This window comes from Homo sapiens, chromosome 15 (genome assembly GCF_000001405.40).
Source record: "Homo sapiens chromosome 15, GRCh38.p14 Primary Assembly".
NCBI classification, from domain to species: domain Eukaryota; kingdom Metazoa; phylum Chordata; class Mammalia; order Primates; family Hominidae; genus Homo; species Homo sapiens.
The window spans coordinates 47,971,889-47,988,439 of NC_000015.10; the positions used below are offsets into that span (position 1 = coordinate 47,971,889).

The following is a 16,551-nucleotide window of genomic DNA, read 5'->3' on the forward strand; positions in this document are numbered from 1 at the left end:
AGACAGTGAACTAGAGGAGGAAAGAACAAGGTGACTCACTCAGTGAGACAGATGTGGACTGGAGACAAAGGAGCAGAAAATAGACAACATGTTCGCTACTAAACAGTATTTCACAAAGTCGAGCAGGGAATCTTAATTTCCCTAAGATTGTTTAATGCATTTCCCTCAGCAAAATTTACCCTTCTTCCTCCTCTGTCTCTTGTCTGGGCATACAAAGATCCCTAGCCTCTGACCTCACTCATCACACATCTCCAAAACTCAATAAATCCCCACTAAATATTTGTTGACTGACTATTGTGTCCTCCAGACAACACCTGAACCAGTACCTCCCAGAAAAGATCTAAGGCAACCAGAAAGATAAAGGAATAATGCATGTGAGAATCCATCGAAAAGTACAAAAACCCATTCATATTCAAGGGATTATTATCATTTTCCCAGGGTTTTCTTCTCCATTAGGAGTCCCATTTGAAAAGGAAGTTCATGGACTAATTCATACCAATGTGTTAATGGTTCACCATATATTAGGCTATTAACCCACCTGAGTCGCTGGATTAACCTTTTTCCTCATTTTAGGAAAATGCAAAATATATTGAGGAAAAATGTTTAAATAAAAATAAAAATCACTCTCATTTTTATAATTCTGAAATAACTACAGCAACATTTTGGTGACATACTTATTTCAGTCCTCCTGCTAGATCCCAACATACATATTTGCAACATATTTTTACATAGTATGGTAAGCAGAGTAATAGTTTCCTTAAAATGTCCACATTTCAATCCCCAGCACTTGTGAAAATGTTACCCTTACATGGCAAAAGGGACTTTTGTAGATATGACTAAGGTTATGGGCATTGATATGGGAAGATTTCATGCTGGATTATCCAGGTGGGGCCAATTTAATCCTATGTGTCCTTACAAAAGGGGTACATTTCCCTGCTGAGTCAGAGAGATAGGATAAAAAAGAAGAAAAAATTCACGGTATTTAAGGAACTTGACCAGACTTTGCTGACTTTGGAGATGTAGGAAGAGGCCATGAACCAAAGAATGTGGGTGGCCTCTAGAGCTGGGAACTGCTGTCAGTTGACAGCAAGAAAACTAGGATCTCAATCCTGCATCCACAGGGAACTGAATTCTGCCAACAACCTAAACGAGCAAGGAAATGGATTCACCCCTAGAGCCTCCAGAATGAAACACAGCTCTGCTGATACTTTGACTTTAGCCTGGTGAGACCTATGTCCGAACTGTAAAATAGTAAATTGTGTTGTTTTAAGCCATTACATTTGTGGTAATTTGTCACAGCAGCAGCAGAAAACTAATATATTTGTTTTGAAGTATACTTTATAAATTTTTTTCTTGCTATTTTTAACATCAAATTATATGAGAACTGTTTTCTCATTTCGTGTGTTTTGTGTTTTTACATTGCTTTATAGCAGTCCATCACACAGGTTTATTGTGATTTATTTCACCATTCCCATCGTTGTTTGTTTAGGCTGCTTCTAATTTTTTGCTTTTATAATGAGCATCCTCATATGTGCTGTTTCAGTCCACAATGCTTCTTATTTTCTTAGAACTGATTTCCAGATGTGAAATTACCAGAACAGCTCATGGGGACATTTTTAATTTTTTATTCTCAATTCTAAAATGAGTTTCTAAAAAGTATCAAGTTGTACACCCATCCAGAGTTTGGGAGTGTCTATTTTATCTTACGATCACCTGAGTTCCATTTGACTGGTTTTTAAATGCCAATTTCTTACATCATTTTATTTTGCATTTCTTTGATTGCTTGCGACATTGAACATTTATTCATATGTGAACTACCTATTTTTTTTACTGATTTTCCAATGAAAGTCTTAGAGTTTTCATATTGATTTGGAAAAGCTTTTTATTCCTTTATGATATCAGTCCCTTGGCATATTTAATGCAAGTTCCCCCAGTTTGACATTTACCTTTTAACGGTGTTTATAATCTATCTTGACACACTGAATTCTTAACCTAATATGTGGTTAAATCTACCTTTTTCTTCCATATTTTCTTCTATTGATTTACAGAGATTTTTCTGTCTCGAAATCAAGTAAACATTTACCTATATGTCTTCTTGTATGTTAAGGGTTTAACATTTTTCTTTTTACATTTTAAGTATTGCACAAGCCTGGAAGTTATTTTGGTTTATGAAGCTACGAAGGGAGGATTGTGTTTTTATTATTTTCCAAATATTCACATAATTTTGAATAATTTTTTTTGCCCTGTCTATGAAAGGCACTGCTTCTTAACTAAAGACGTCAGGAGACAAGATATCTCCCCCTCAAAAGAAACTAACATGCAATTTCAGGTTCTGTGATTAGTGGTGAGTTAGATTTCATCTTTTGAAAGGGTGTAGGAGGAGGTGGGAAGGGATTTTTCAACATCTCTCAGATGATCCCAAGCAAGCTTTACATCAGTTTCCTGAGGGTTGACACTCACTTCACCACTGTTCTTGCATTTAAGATCAAATATAAAGGAGAGTGAGACATGTGAGTTGCAATATCTGAAAGTAGAGCCTCAACAGGGACTCAAGTCTAACATGATGTCCATTTGGTTCAGGAAAGCATACATGCATCCTCAAAATAGGATGGGCTGTGTCTGCAGGAGAGTAAGCTCCCCAAAGACCGATACTCCTCTCGTATTTCCACCCTCCAGCTCCTCTTACATAGTCCTCTGTAACCCCCAAACTTGCCCTCCTGACTTATTGAGAGTTCAGGGTACTGGTGACCAATCCTGAAAACTGCTCCTTGGCTCCAGACCCACCCTGTCTCAACCTCATATGCTTTATTTTTTGTTCCCTTAATTCTCCTCCTCCATGCTCTCCCTCCATCTGGAAGAAGGAGGTGCATTTGTGAGCATTTATCTTTCCAGGAATAGCCTCTGAAGCTCAGAAAAGGGAACAGGCAGAGGAAAGAATGGCCAAGCCTATGGTCAAGTAGCCAGGTAGGACTGTAGGACGTGAGCCCAGCTCTGAGCTCATCAGGGCAAGATGGCTGTTGCTAGTCTGTGGCTGCCAGCAGAGAGCAAAGCAGAGAGAGCTGGCTTCTCCCCAGTCACTTTCCTGGGTGACAGTGAGGATTGCTCAGAGCTGAAGTATGCTAGACATCAATGATCAGAGGTAGCTATATAAAGTCCTGCTTTTCTTATTGATGTAACTAGGTTTGGGGCATGATAGGAGGGTTTGGGGGTGGATGCAAGGGAAAAGGACTGGTCTGAAGCCAGTGCTGGACCTGTGAAGCGAGCACCTTAATTGCTGCTTAGGAAGGAGTTCTGATGTGTGGAGGCTCGGCTACTTCCCTTGGCTGGGGGCATGCCCTGCCCTACTTCAACCACACAGAGTGATAGGGACTTACTTTTTCAGACAGAACAGGAAACCAGGTAGGGCTGCCCAGAGTTGCCCTCGAGACCTGCACTCCTGGATCCCTAAAGAAGTTTGAGAGGCAGGGCCAGACACCATGTTCCTCAGCAGGCCAAAGGGCTCTGTGGATGGGGGCAGGTGTGCATAGTGAATTCATCAGGCATCAAATTCCCAAAGGAGGGGCACCTTTTCCAGCATCCACTCAGGGTTTGGGCTTGTGCCTGTGCCCTTTATTTCTCAGCTTGAGCTTGATATCTCTATGAAGTACCCCACTCCTACTTGAGAGAATAATAGGAGTAGAACAAGGCCAGGCAAGGAGTCCTAAGCAGTGATCTCCCCTCCATTCTTTTGTATTTGGCAGCTTGAAGGCTGCACTGCAGCTGAGGGCACAGTAACCATGGTGACAGGGCTGGCCCCATAGAAAGGGTAGGCTCCAGGGAAGGGTCAGCTTTGGGATATGTTTAGAGGTGAATCAGAAACACTTGCACTGATCTTATACAGATTTCTAAAGTTATGTTTCTCTCCAGTTATAGTCAGTGGAAGCCCCAGCTAGCATTTTACCTAATGGCCTTTCATATTCATCAAGATTATCCTGAAAACCTTTAAGAATTAGTTCATCAAATCAAAATAGCTTTTTACAAGCATTTACATGTGTGACACTCTCTGTATAACACACAAAAATACATAAGATCCAAACTGTACTTCAGGAGGCTTTTATAGCAAGGAAACCAAGGTATTAAAGTCTTAAAGAGCTGAATATAAGCTCTGAATGACAATGGAAGATAGCAATAGAAAAATAGTAACAATGTAGCAAATGGTTAATTGTCGATGAATAATATAAACAATATTTTATTGAAGGATTCGTACTGGGGAGTCTTGGAAGGCTTTACAAAGTGGGCAGCATTTGAGCTGGGTGCAGGATGGGTAGGATCTGTCTCCCTGGCTCAGAAGACTGGAAGAGGAGGGGCAGTCCAGGAAGAAGTGAAAGCATAGGGCAGAGAGCAGAATGTGTGCCCAAGAAGAAAGGGTAAACACTCTGACTGAAGTAGAGGCTTCAGGTGGGACCTATGAGGGAGATGAGTTTATTACAGTAGCTCCAATTTGTGGGAATGAACATGAAATTGGGCATATTTGATAGCAGGATGGGGTGTGAGCCTGGGATTTAGAATGAGGATGATCAAGACCATCAGGGAGGAGCTCCAGGTCCCCAAGGGATGAGAGCACCAAAGAAATCGGTAAGCCATGAAGATAAATTTACTCAATTTTGTAGCTTTGCTGTAGACCATTCCTGGGGATGAGAAGCCAGTAACACATTCATTCCAGAGCAAGCTCATCAGCATACAGAAAGGAATTGCTTCTGACTGTCTTGGGAAACTAACTCATGCATAATGAAGGCTAAATGCTGCCTTTAATAATTTTATAAATACAAAGCATGTGATTTGTCTACAGAAAACTGTAGAAAGTATCCTGTTTGGAGAAATCATGTGTAAAAAGGTATGTGCACATATGTGTTCACAAGAATGCAGGAGCTATCAGAACTTCAATATGTATGTGCAAACATGATATTGAGCTCCAAACATCAACTTATTATTGTTTCTTGGTTAAATATCCTCATATATTGTTTCAGAAGCAATTTCAACATCTTGACCCCAGAATCTCACAAAAGACAAATCACTTTTTCTCCAGCAAGATTCTGTGGTATGCCCAAGCCTGCTTTTGTCTCCTTACCAACGGTGGAGGGAATCTCAAGTTGAATCTTGAGAGCCCAGTATTTCAAGTGAAATTCTGTCCCATCTTTCATGGTCATGAAACCCTTTTTCATGCTCCTGCCAACACCAATCTTTCCAATTTTCCATAGATTAGATATATAATGGTACTTAGTTTTTCTGATTTAATATATATGACTTGTTGCCCTATCAAGAGTATGGGATCTTGTCACCCACAGTATGGGTATCACTTGAGAAGTTAGAAATGCAGAATTTCAGGCTCTACCCTAGACTAACTGAATAGCATCTGCAATTTAACAAGACCCTGAGAGATCTGTGTGCATATTTAGTGTTTGAGAGACATTTCTCTAGGAGACGGAGAGCGTATTTTGCATTTTACCCATATTCACATCCCTCTGTAATCTCATGGAACCATGGCAGCCATGAAGTAAATCGAACCCATTCTTAGTGAATTCAATTAAAACAATCCTCAATGGCGAACCACTCTAACAAAGAGATAGTGTTGTCATCATTTTATCTGATTCAAACAACCACCCAGGGAGACAGGCAAAACATACTGTTTTATCCCCATTTTACAAGTAAAAAAATGGAAACTCAGAAGGGTTTAATTGTTTCCTAAGGTCAAACAACTGGAACTTAACAATATTAATTTTTTCAACCCATGAGCATGAAATATCTTTTCTTTTTTTCTTTTTCATTTTTTTTTGTTGTTGTTGTCCTCTTTAATTTCTGTCATCAGTGTTTTACAATTTTCCTTGCAGAGATCTTCCACTTTTTGGTTAAATTTATTCCTAGATATTTTATTTTTGTAACTATTACAAATGGGATTACTTTCTTGATTTCTCTTGCAGACTGATCATACTAGTGTATAGAAATGCTACTGATTTTTGTATGTTGATTTTGTATCTAACAACTTTACTAAATTTGTCAGTTCTAAGAGTTTTTTGGCAGTCTTCGGGTTTTTCTAAATATAAGATCATGCTGTCTGCAAACAAGGACAATATGACTTCTTCCTATCCAATTTGGATGCCCTTTATTTCTTCCTCTTGCTTAATTGCTATGCTTAGGACCTCCAGCACTAGGATGAATAAAAGTCATGAAAGTGGGCATCCTTGTCTTGTTCCAGATCTTAGTGCAAACACTTTCAACTTTTCCCTGTTCAGTATATTAGCTGTGGGCTTGTCATATATGTTCTTTATTGTGTTGAGGACTTTTGATTATGAAGGGATGTTGAATTTTATCCACATCAAATACCAATGACATTCTTCCCTGAAATAGAAAAAAAAAATCCTAGAATTCATATGGAAGCACAAAAGACCCTGAAACTGAGGGCATCAGACTACCTGATTTCAAATGATATTACTAAGCTATAGTAACCCAAACAGCATGGTACTGGCATAAAACAGATACATAGACCAATTGAACACAGCCAACCCCTTTTTGGCAAAGTTGTCAAGAACATACACTGGGTAAAGAACTGTCTCTTTAGTAAATGCTTCTGTGAAAACTGGATATCCATATAGAGAAGAATGAAACCAGACCCCACCTCTCACCACATACAAAAATTAATTCAAAATGGACTAAAGACTTAAATGTAAGAGCTACAATGAAACTACTAGAAGAAAACATTGGGGAATCACTACAGGACATTGGTCTGGGCAGATTTTGAGGAGGTAAGATATTAAAAGCATAGTCAAGAAGAGCAAAAATAGACAAATGGAATTACATCAAGCTAAAAAGCTTCTGCACAGCAAAGGAAACAATCAACAAAGTGAAGAAACAACCTACAGAATAGGAGAAAGTATTTGCAAACTATCCATCCAACAAGAGATTAATTGCCAGAAATTATAAGAAACTCCAACAACTCAATAACGAAAAAACAAATAATCGAATTTAAAATAAGCAAAACACCTAAATAGACATTTTTCAAAAGAAGACGTACAAATGGCCAATAGGTATATGTAAAAATGCTCAACATCACTAATCATCAGAGAAATGCACATCAAAACCACAATGAGATATCATATCACCCCAGTTAGAATGGCTATTGTCAAAAAACACACAAAAAATAACCAATACTAACAAGGATGAGGAGAAATGGGAATGCTCATACACTGTTGGTCAGAATGTAATGTAGTACAGCCATTATGGAAAACAGTATGGAGGTTCTTCAGCCAACTGAAAATAGAACTACTATATGATCCAGCAATGCCACTGCTGGTATACACCCAAAAGGAAGAAAATCAGTATATCAAAGACATATCTACACTTCCATGTTTATTGGCTCACTATTCATAATAGCCAAGATGTGGAATTAACCTGTGTCTATCAAGGGATATTGATGGATATAGAAAATGTGGTGTATAATACAATGGAATATTATTCATCCGTGAAAAAGAATGAAATCTTGTTTTTTGCAACAACATGGATGGAACTGGAGGTCATTGTGTTAAATGGAATAAGCCAAGGCACAGAAAGACAAATATCACACATTCTCATTCGTAAGTGGGAGCTAGAAAAGTGGATCTCATGGAGGTGGAGAGTAGAATGGTGGTTACCAGAGTCTGGAAAGAAAAATAGGAAGGGGGGTTGAAGAGGAGTTGGTTTAGGGGTACAAAAATACAGTCAGATAGAAGGAATAAGTGCTAGTACTTGATAGTACAGTAAGAAAATTATAGTTTACAATAACTTATTGTATATTTCAATATAACTAGAAGAATTGTAATGTTCCCAAAACAAACATAAATATTTGAGATGATGGATGTCATAGTTACCATGATTTGATCATTATACATTGTATGCGTGTATCAAAATGTCACACATGCCCCCAAAATATGTACAACTATTATGTATCAAAATATTTTTTAAATGATTATTATAGACAGATGACTACCAAAGGGAAAGAAAGGAAAATCTATAAATGATTAGAAAGCATATTTACATTTAAGAAAAAATTTACTCTGGTTTATCTTGTAATCTTTATTTCAAACTTTTTTTTTTTTTTTGAGACAGAGTTTCATTCTGTCGCCCAGCCTAGAGTGCAATGGCACGATCTCAGCTCACTGCAACCTCCATCTCCCAGGTTCAAGAGATTCTCCTGCCTCAGCCTCCCAAGTAGCTGGGATTACAGGCATGCGCCACCATGCCCAGCTAATTTTTGTATCTTTTGTAGAGACGGGGCTTTGCCATGTTGGCCAGGTTGGTCTCCAATTCCCGACCGCAAGTGATCCGCCCACCTCAGCCTTCCAATTTATTGGGATTACAGGCATGGGCGACTGCGCCCAGCCTTAATTTCAAACTTTTGATCTCCTTTGCATGCTGCACATACCCAAAAGAATGATGAAGAGACTGTGTGGAATTTCGTTTGAGTAGATATACTCCTGGGCCCTGGAGCACATATACAAAGCCTGATTGAACCCACAGAATATCCTAAATTATCTTTGGTCAAATATGGAATAGAAAGATTTATCATCTGTGTTGTGTTTCTAACTGCCTTGTCCCAAAACAACCTTGCCTAAAAAGCAAAACATCCTTTACTTAAGCTATCTTTTAGGAAGGAAAGGAGGATCTATAATTTTTCTCATCTTGGTTTTCTCCAGGATGAATGGAGACTATTTTCAAAACGAGGATGCCTAGTACATTTTTACCTACTTTTGAAAAAAAGCATAGCACTAGATAGAAATACTGATGGTATTTATTTGAGAAAAATACAATAAGTTTTCCCAAAAGGTTGATAATAATTTTTAGGAAAAAATAAATATAATGATCAATTTCTTTCTTTTGCACCCATGACAAATAGCTAGAGCCAAAATTAAAAAGATTCTATTACAATCGAAACCATTAAATGCATATCTATTTAATTCACAACATAAATGATTTAATTATTCAAATAAAATTTAAAACTCCTAATGGGGAAATAAAAGATGAGAGGAATAATTGGAAAGATATACATTGCTTCGTACTGGAAAGACCAAATACCCTAGTAATGACAATAATTCCTAAGCAAATATTTATAGATTTTATGCAAAACCAAGATCCCAAATGAATACATTATAGACTCAGACAAACTCACAGAGTAATTCATCTAGGAGAATAACCTATCAGGAATATTGAAGCATTCCTTTTAAAAAGATAATTATAATGGCTTGGCATACGTGATTTTAAAACATGATTTATAGCAACAATTATCAAAACAATCAGTTATTGGATTAAAAATAAGAGAAGTTGACCAGTATTTTAAAATAGTGTTTCTAAATTAAATACTTAATATCTAAATAACTAAAGCAACAGTCACATTACACTGGTGACTCACATTAAATTTACTGTCAACTGAGAACTCAAATAATTTTCATATTATTATTTACCCAATTCTTTCCTATTCTCTATTTTGTTAAAGAATAACTTTCAAAATGAGGTAAAATCATGACTCTCATATAAATAAAAAGTGAACATGCATTAAAGATTTTATTTAACTCGTTATTTTATAACAGAACCAAGCAGATGCTTCTACCTGTTCTAAGGTGAATCCAAAGAACAGATACATTTTAGATTAGAAGGAGTGTTAAAATAAAATTGCGAATGGATACAAAACTGGCTGATCCACAGTGTCACTTGAACTTACACAGGACAGAATTTATTTGCAAGTCTATATATGAGAATTATTTTGGACTGCTGTGGGTTATCTATAATTTACATAATTGAAAAATAGCTCAAAGGTGATGAAAGGTGCAGAATGCCCATAGAATCAGAATCAGTTAATCCAGAAGTGGGTGCTCTAAACAATGCAGGTTACCACCGAAGCACAAATTTTTCTCTACAATTTGAACAGTGGGGTTTTTATTGTACCCAACCAAAGAGTGTTACATCTGTGTGTATTAGATCTGATATTGACAGATTCAGCTTATCATATTCTTATACCTCCCAGCTTCATGCATACACGTATTGGAATAGGACATTATCAATGTCATTGTCCAAACCATTAATTTAAAAAAAAGTTGAACAGGACAGAAAAATCAAAGTACCTCAACCATATGTATCTCAACCAATGTATCTCAACCATAAAGATGATATGTCTTTCTTTAAATTGAAAAAGTAGAGACAACCATCTGAGATAATAATGGTAGAGAAATATCTTTCAAATGGCAGAATGAGATAACCAGAGAACAGAAAGAAACAGGACAAGTAAAACAGAAGTGCTATTTCATTTATGCAACTAGTGTTTTTTGAGAACCACTGGTGCCAGGTATTGTGCTAGATGCTGACGACACTAAGACAAACGAAAGGCAAGCCCCTGCTCTTGTGGAGATTTATAGTCAGGAGTGGAATTGGGGAAATGACATTAAACAGACAATTTATACATTGGTGCAATGGTAAGTGATGTACCTAATGTGGTAAGTGATACCAGGAAGAGTTACACAGCTGTTAAGCAAGTGTAGCGTGAGTAGATATGAACATACTAATCATTCTAGTTAGTTTCAACCTTGTAACTATTAGGTCTTTATCTTTTACTTTGTGTGTTTGTTGGTTTGTTGTAAGGATGTTTGAAGTGGAAGCAAACAAAAACGATTTGAGAGTTGAGATGTAACTACTATTTAGCAAAATAAGAATGGTCATGGCTTGCCTCAATTTTCCCCTCTTCCTGAATAACCAGACAGTACCAATCAAGTATTTCCTTTACGTGGGATGAACATGATGAGGAAAAAGTCTTAGTTCAGATTCTGTTGTGACCAACGGAAATAAACACTGTTACTACAAGCCAGACACTAGCACATAAAATAGCTTTGTCATGCGGCCATAGGAATTTACTTTTTCTATGCAGACAAAGCTATCTCTGTATATGCATGTGATTTTAAACTCTATTAAAAATTAAAATTTAACTCACAACTAGCAGAAGACATTTGCTACATATTATAATTGACAAAGCATTAATATAGAAGATATTTAAATAATCTCTAAAATTAATAAGATATCCCATAAAACTTGGGCATATGAACAGGCATTTTACGGAAGAAGAAATACTTAGGGCCAAGAAATGTATGAAAATATGTTTAACCTCATCAAAAGGGAGAGTACAAATTAAAACCACAACTATCTTGCTTCCACTCAATTGGCAAAAATGTAGAAGTCTGACAACAGCCAGTGTTGAAGATGGTGTGAAGCAATCAGAAATCCTACACACTCTGGTGGAAGTGTAAATTGGTATAACCACTCTGGGAAACACTTTGTCATTATCTAGTCAAACTGAAGATGTCCGTTTCCTACTACATGACCATTCTGATCTTGGGAGACACTTGCTCGTATGCTCCAAGAAACATGGACCTGAATGTTCATACCAGCATTTCTGGAATGGTTGTATGGGGGAAGAGGCTAAATGTCCATCGACAAGAGCCTGTATAAATAAATTGTGGTATATTCTTATAATGAAATACCATGTAGCTGTAAAAAAGAGTTCTCAAAGCACAAAGATGAAGAGGGAAAGTTCCAGGAACACACACATATATATATGAATATGTATATATATAGCATAAATATATAGTATATATATGATATGTAATTATATATATACACAAATAAACAACATATATATGAATATGTATATTGTTATAGGTATATGTGTATATTGATAAAAGAAAAACTTCAACCAAATTATATTTAAAGGAGTTTAATTGAGCAATTAAGAATTCGCCAGTTGGGCCGCCCCCAGAATCACAGCAGATTCACAGAGGCTCCAGCGCAGCCACGTGGTGGAAGAGTTATATACAAAGAAAGGAAAACGATGTACAGAAATTGGCAGCGAGGTACAGAAACAGCTGGATTGGTTACAGGTTGGCGTTTGCCTTCTTTGAACACAGTTCCAACAGTTAGCAGTCTGAGTGGTTGAAGTATGGCCTCTGGAATTAGCCAAGACTCAGTTATTGTTACCGGCAAATGGTCCTAAATTAGGTTTTCAATTTTGCCTGACTGTTAAGCTAGGTTACAGTTCATCCACAAGGACTCAAATATAGAAGTATGGAGTCCTTTAGTTTGCTTTAACAATATACATATACATATACATAACATAATATACATAACATAATTCATAATAAATTCCATTTGTTAAAAGCACAAAGCTAAACTATTTGGGATATAAATGTAAAGAAAAGCCAGAGAATAATAATAAACACAAAATTCAAGACAGCGGTTAGCTCTACGGAACAGGGAGAGAGATTAGAGCAGTACAAGAACACAGGGGCATCAGGCGTATTTCTTAAGCTTGTTGGTGACTACGCTGCTGTTTATTTCAGTATTGTTCTTTAAACTGTTCATATAAATTATATATATATTCTATTTTATATGCGTTATAGTAAAATATATAAATATGGATATGCTTTTATTAATATTACATATTTATATATAATGATGTGTATATATATCATACATATAATTATATATGTACTGATTATATATACAAATCACAAATATTTGTTACCAATATAGTTACCAATGCTTAGAGGTCAGCCTACAAAGAATGTGGGGTTTGTGTGTGTGTGTGTGTGTGTGTGTGTGTGTGTGTGTTTTATTTGTTTTTTTTTTTTTTATTTCAATAGGTTTTTGGGGAACAGATAGTGTTTGGTTATATGAAAAAGTTCTTCAGTGGTGATTTCTGAGATTTTGGTACACCCATCACCCGAGCAGTATACATTGTATCCAATGTGTATCTTTTATCCCTCGCCATCCCCCATCTTTTTCCCTGAGTCCCCAAAGTCCAATGTATCATTCTTATGGCTTTGCGTCTTTATATGAGTTCTCATACATGTTCTCCCACATATGAATGAGAACATACGATGCTTTATTTTTCATTCCTTAGTTACTTCACTTAGAATGATAGTCTCCAGTTCCATCCAGATTGCTGTGAATGCCATTATTCTGTTCCTTTTTATGGCTGAGTAGTATTCCATGGCATATATGTATATACTACATTTTCTTTATCCTCTCATTGATTGATGGTCATTTGGGCCAATTCCATTTTTTTAAGTGTTTCTCTTGCTCTAGGTATTTTGGTAACTATTTGTTACTTTACAAATCATGGAAAGCTGAAATTCTCCAAGTTTGTTTTATTCCAACATAAAAATATCTCTGTAAAATAATTGCCATAAAATGCCTTCTCTTCTGCATTGCTATGTTGGGAAGCTGATATAAATTATCTTAGCTTTTAGATAAAAAAAAATTTCTAATATGAGTGCTATCTGGAAAGCTCTTCCTGCACATTCTGAAGTTCTTTATGCTGATTTCTTGGGTCATACTATCAAGCATAGCACCTGGCTGCAGCAGCTGTGGATAAAACCTGTCCACCTGCATTCTCAAGGGGTTTGTGCTGTTTAATTTAATTCCCACCTCAAATTAACTAGGATCTAACTAGGTGGAGTCATGTCCACGGGTCTTGGGTCTCTCCCTGAGTTACTGTTGGGATCTGCTCTCCGTCTCTGTCTAGTCTGAATGCCTATCTACCAAGTTCTGTGGGCTGCCTCATGCTGTTCACTGCTTCCTTATAGTCTCTACCTGGAATTTTTAGGGAAAATTAATCTCCTTAGTTCCCAAGCAATCAGGCATATCATCAACATCTCTGCTTGCATGCAAAATAAGGCAGCAATGGGTTTTTCTTTTAAAGATTTTTTTCAATACTATTACATCAATTCTTTTCACACCTGTAAATGCATTGACCACAGTGAGAGGGCTTATCAGGCTCTGTCAGTCATTGTTAGTAATTCCCTAAGTTGGATGATCAAGCCTTACCCACATTATGAAACCTTCCCAACACCTTTGGCATGGAGCTGAACAGCCCTTCTCTAAAAGACCACATCCTGTCAACCCCGGTTTTCTCTCGCTTCACCCCTCGTATCACAGGAAACACAAAGACATGTTACTGGGGATTATCAAGGATATATGTTCCCGGGGATCATAAGAGATTTTCCAGCACATTCCAAGATATACATGTCTTCAGTCCCATTGTCTGCCCTGTACATATGACATAATGAAAGAGTTGACCACTCTTACTAATTGACACCAAATATATGCAGAAACAAATTTCTCACATTAAAAAATCAGACATGTTCAAAAAGTTCATTTTTAGGTCAATTGATGATATTTGAAACTCATTCTTCTCTAAAAACAGTGTTTGTAATGCTGATGCTGACCACAGGCTTGACCCCAATACCCCATCTAACCCACAAAGTATCAGAAATAGCATATGATTGCAGTGAAAATACATGGAACACAACATTTTTTACTCTGCTTTGTTACAATACTGGTAATAAAATATGACACACAACAGTAAGAAAGAAATAAGAAAAGTAAGAAAATAAATTATTTTTAATTTTCTTGTATTCTGATGCTTGAGGAAAGGTAAATTCATCTAGGAGAGACAAAAATGTAGATGAAAATTTGTGAATACCTTAAAGGGAAGTTGAGGTAACTTTCAAGGATTTCTAGAAGCTGATGAGAATGACATTTTAGAAGCAGTAGTAGAAGAAGAATCATCACTATTCACAGTTTTGCTTCAACATTTCTGTCTTTCTTTTCCTTGGTACAAACCTATCACTTGTAGAACTCAAGCCATGTGTTGGGCTCACAAAATGAAATAATAGACAGAAGGGGAAGGTTGAAATTGAGAAAAGAGGGGCTTTCCTAAGTAAGCAAAAGAAAGTACCTTGCATAGCATTAATTGATTTAAAATCCATGTTTAGCATGCACTATCTGTCCAGTTCTATGCTGGGTCTTACGGATATAAAGAAGAATCGAACAGTTGCTACCATCATAACACCGACCTATTGCAGTAGGTGGTGAAACAAAGTGAGGCAGGGGCTGGGAGTCAGAACAGACAAGCACACCTGCAAATTACACTATAATGTGCTGAAAGCTGTCTTAAAGGATGAGGAAGGTGCTGTTTGTGGAAATCTGGAAATGCTCCCCTAAAATGACATTTAATTCTCAAAAATGAATAGAAATTTTTCAGAAGGAACAAAATGTACAAAGGCATAAGCATACAATCATTTTGGAAATGATGTGAGGTTCAGAGTAAATGCAGGGAAGGAGGGTAAGACATGGCAGATGAGGCTGAATAAATAAGAGGAAAATGCATCCTGCAGACTTTAATGCCCAAGGAGAGTTTAAACTCAATTCTATTGGAAACTCGGAGACAACCAATTCAATTTGAATGTTAGAACAATGAAGGAAGATTAACTGAGATGCAATTAATTGATCTTTGCATGGCTTAAAAGAGAGAATACAACATCAGGAAATCATGGTTGCCTCTGTGGAGACAGAAAGGAGGTCAAAAGTCATTAGATCAGAGTGTTCTCTGCTAAGGCAGCAGCTGAAAAGAGGGGGTGGCAATTAAAGGAAAAGTGAAGTTAGGGAAAGGAACTGGCCCTGGGGTCTTTAGGAATAGGGGAGACAGTGCTGGATGTTTGCAAGTGCATGTCTCATACTCATACAATATGATTTCATTTTAGGATTAAAAGTGGAGTTAATTTTGTATCTTTATGTCAATTACTACTGACAAAATGGAACTCATGTACCAGCAGGTCGTCTGCAAGTCGTGGGTCATATGGAAATGAGGAATTCATGTTTAATAATTGACAGTAGCTGATGAACAATCACTTACTTGTTTGTCCCACCCTTTGGCATTTCTGCAACATGGTTCCTAGAGTCATACTCTTCTCTTTTCCTTCCTCTTTGCCCCGGTATTTCACGCATGAAAGGGTGTTTTGGCAGCTAGAGATCTCTTCAGTGAAGAATGTTCTCTTATAGTAAATTCATAGCATTTCAGCATTTCAATACTTCTCTGTATCTCTGATTTCTGGCTTTCCAGAGATGTTAAGTCTAAAACCCCATGCAGAGGATAAAAATGTAATAAGTTAAACAAGAAAATAAGAAAAAATTTTAAAACCTCACATGTTAATTCAGAACAATAGTTCTCAGAATGCAAACTCCAGTTATCTGATTCAGCTGTCCCTGGAGGGGCTTTCTTGGGCAAGGAGTAGATGGCCCAGCATCTAACACTGTATGCATTGCAGGCTTCTCAGCTACTCAGGAAATGAAACCAGGCATATAGCTGTGTATAGAGAAGGAAGGCACTGCCACCTACAGGTTGTAAGATTATGGACCTAACACATTCACATTTAATTTGTAAAAGAAATTATTTTACTAATGTAATGTTGTCATAGCCTTAAAAGCCTCAAAGATAGTTGGTCTATCCTCCTACCTTTGGGCAGACCTGTTTCTAAATATGCAAGAACTTTCGTTGAGATGAGAGAAGTTCAGCTCTCAGACAATTAAAATCTAACCAAAGTCAGACTTGCCCTGCAGGAATTGAGGATTAAGCTAGGCTTTGCACAAGGTAAGCGGTGAAGGGGTGGTTGGCAATTGCCTTCTAATGCAGTCTTTAAACTCTGAGATCTCTCTGGG

At 37.0% G+C, this 16,551-nt stretch overlaps 2 long non-coding RNA genes across 5 annotated transcripts in view, besides 1 other annotated feature; one reads left to right on the top strand and one right to left on the bottom strand.

The window, feature by feature from the left end:
• LOC124900354 (uncharacterized) overlaps positions 1-16,551 on the top strand; it is a 165,186-nt gene that overhangs the window by 87,526 nt on the left and 61,109 nt on the right. The window lies entirely within an intron of this gene.
• LOC102724553 (uncharacterized) overlaps positions 1-16,551 on the bottom strand; it is a 43,914-nt gene that overhangs the window by 12,833 nt on the left and 14,530 nt on the right. For both annotated transcript variants that reach the window (XR_001751520.2, XR_001751521.2), the window contains exon 2: positions 15,749-15,966. This is a non-coding gene — a long non-coding RNA (uncharacterized LOC102724553). The remainder of the gene's footprint in view (positions 1-15,748; positions 15,967-16,551) is intronic.
• Positions 16,264-16,313: an enhancer, noted in NCBI's record as "active region_9373". NCBI's record gives its function as "activates an Ori minimal core promoter by ATAC-STARR-seq in GM12878 lymphoblastoid cells {active_cell/tissue: GM12878}" and the evidence as "EXISTENCE:reporter gene assay evidence [ECO:0000049][PMID:35858748]".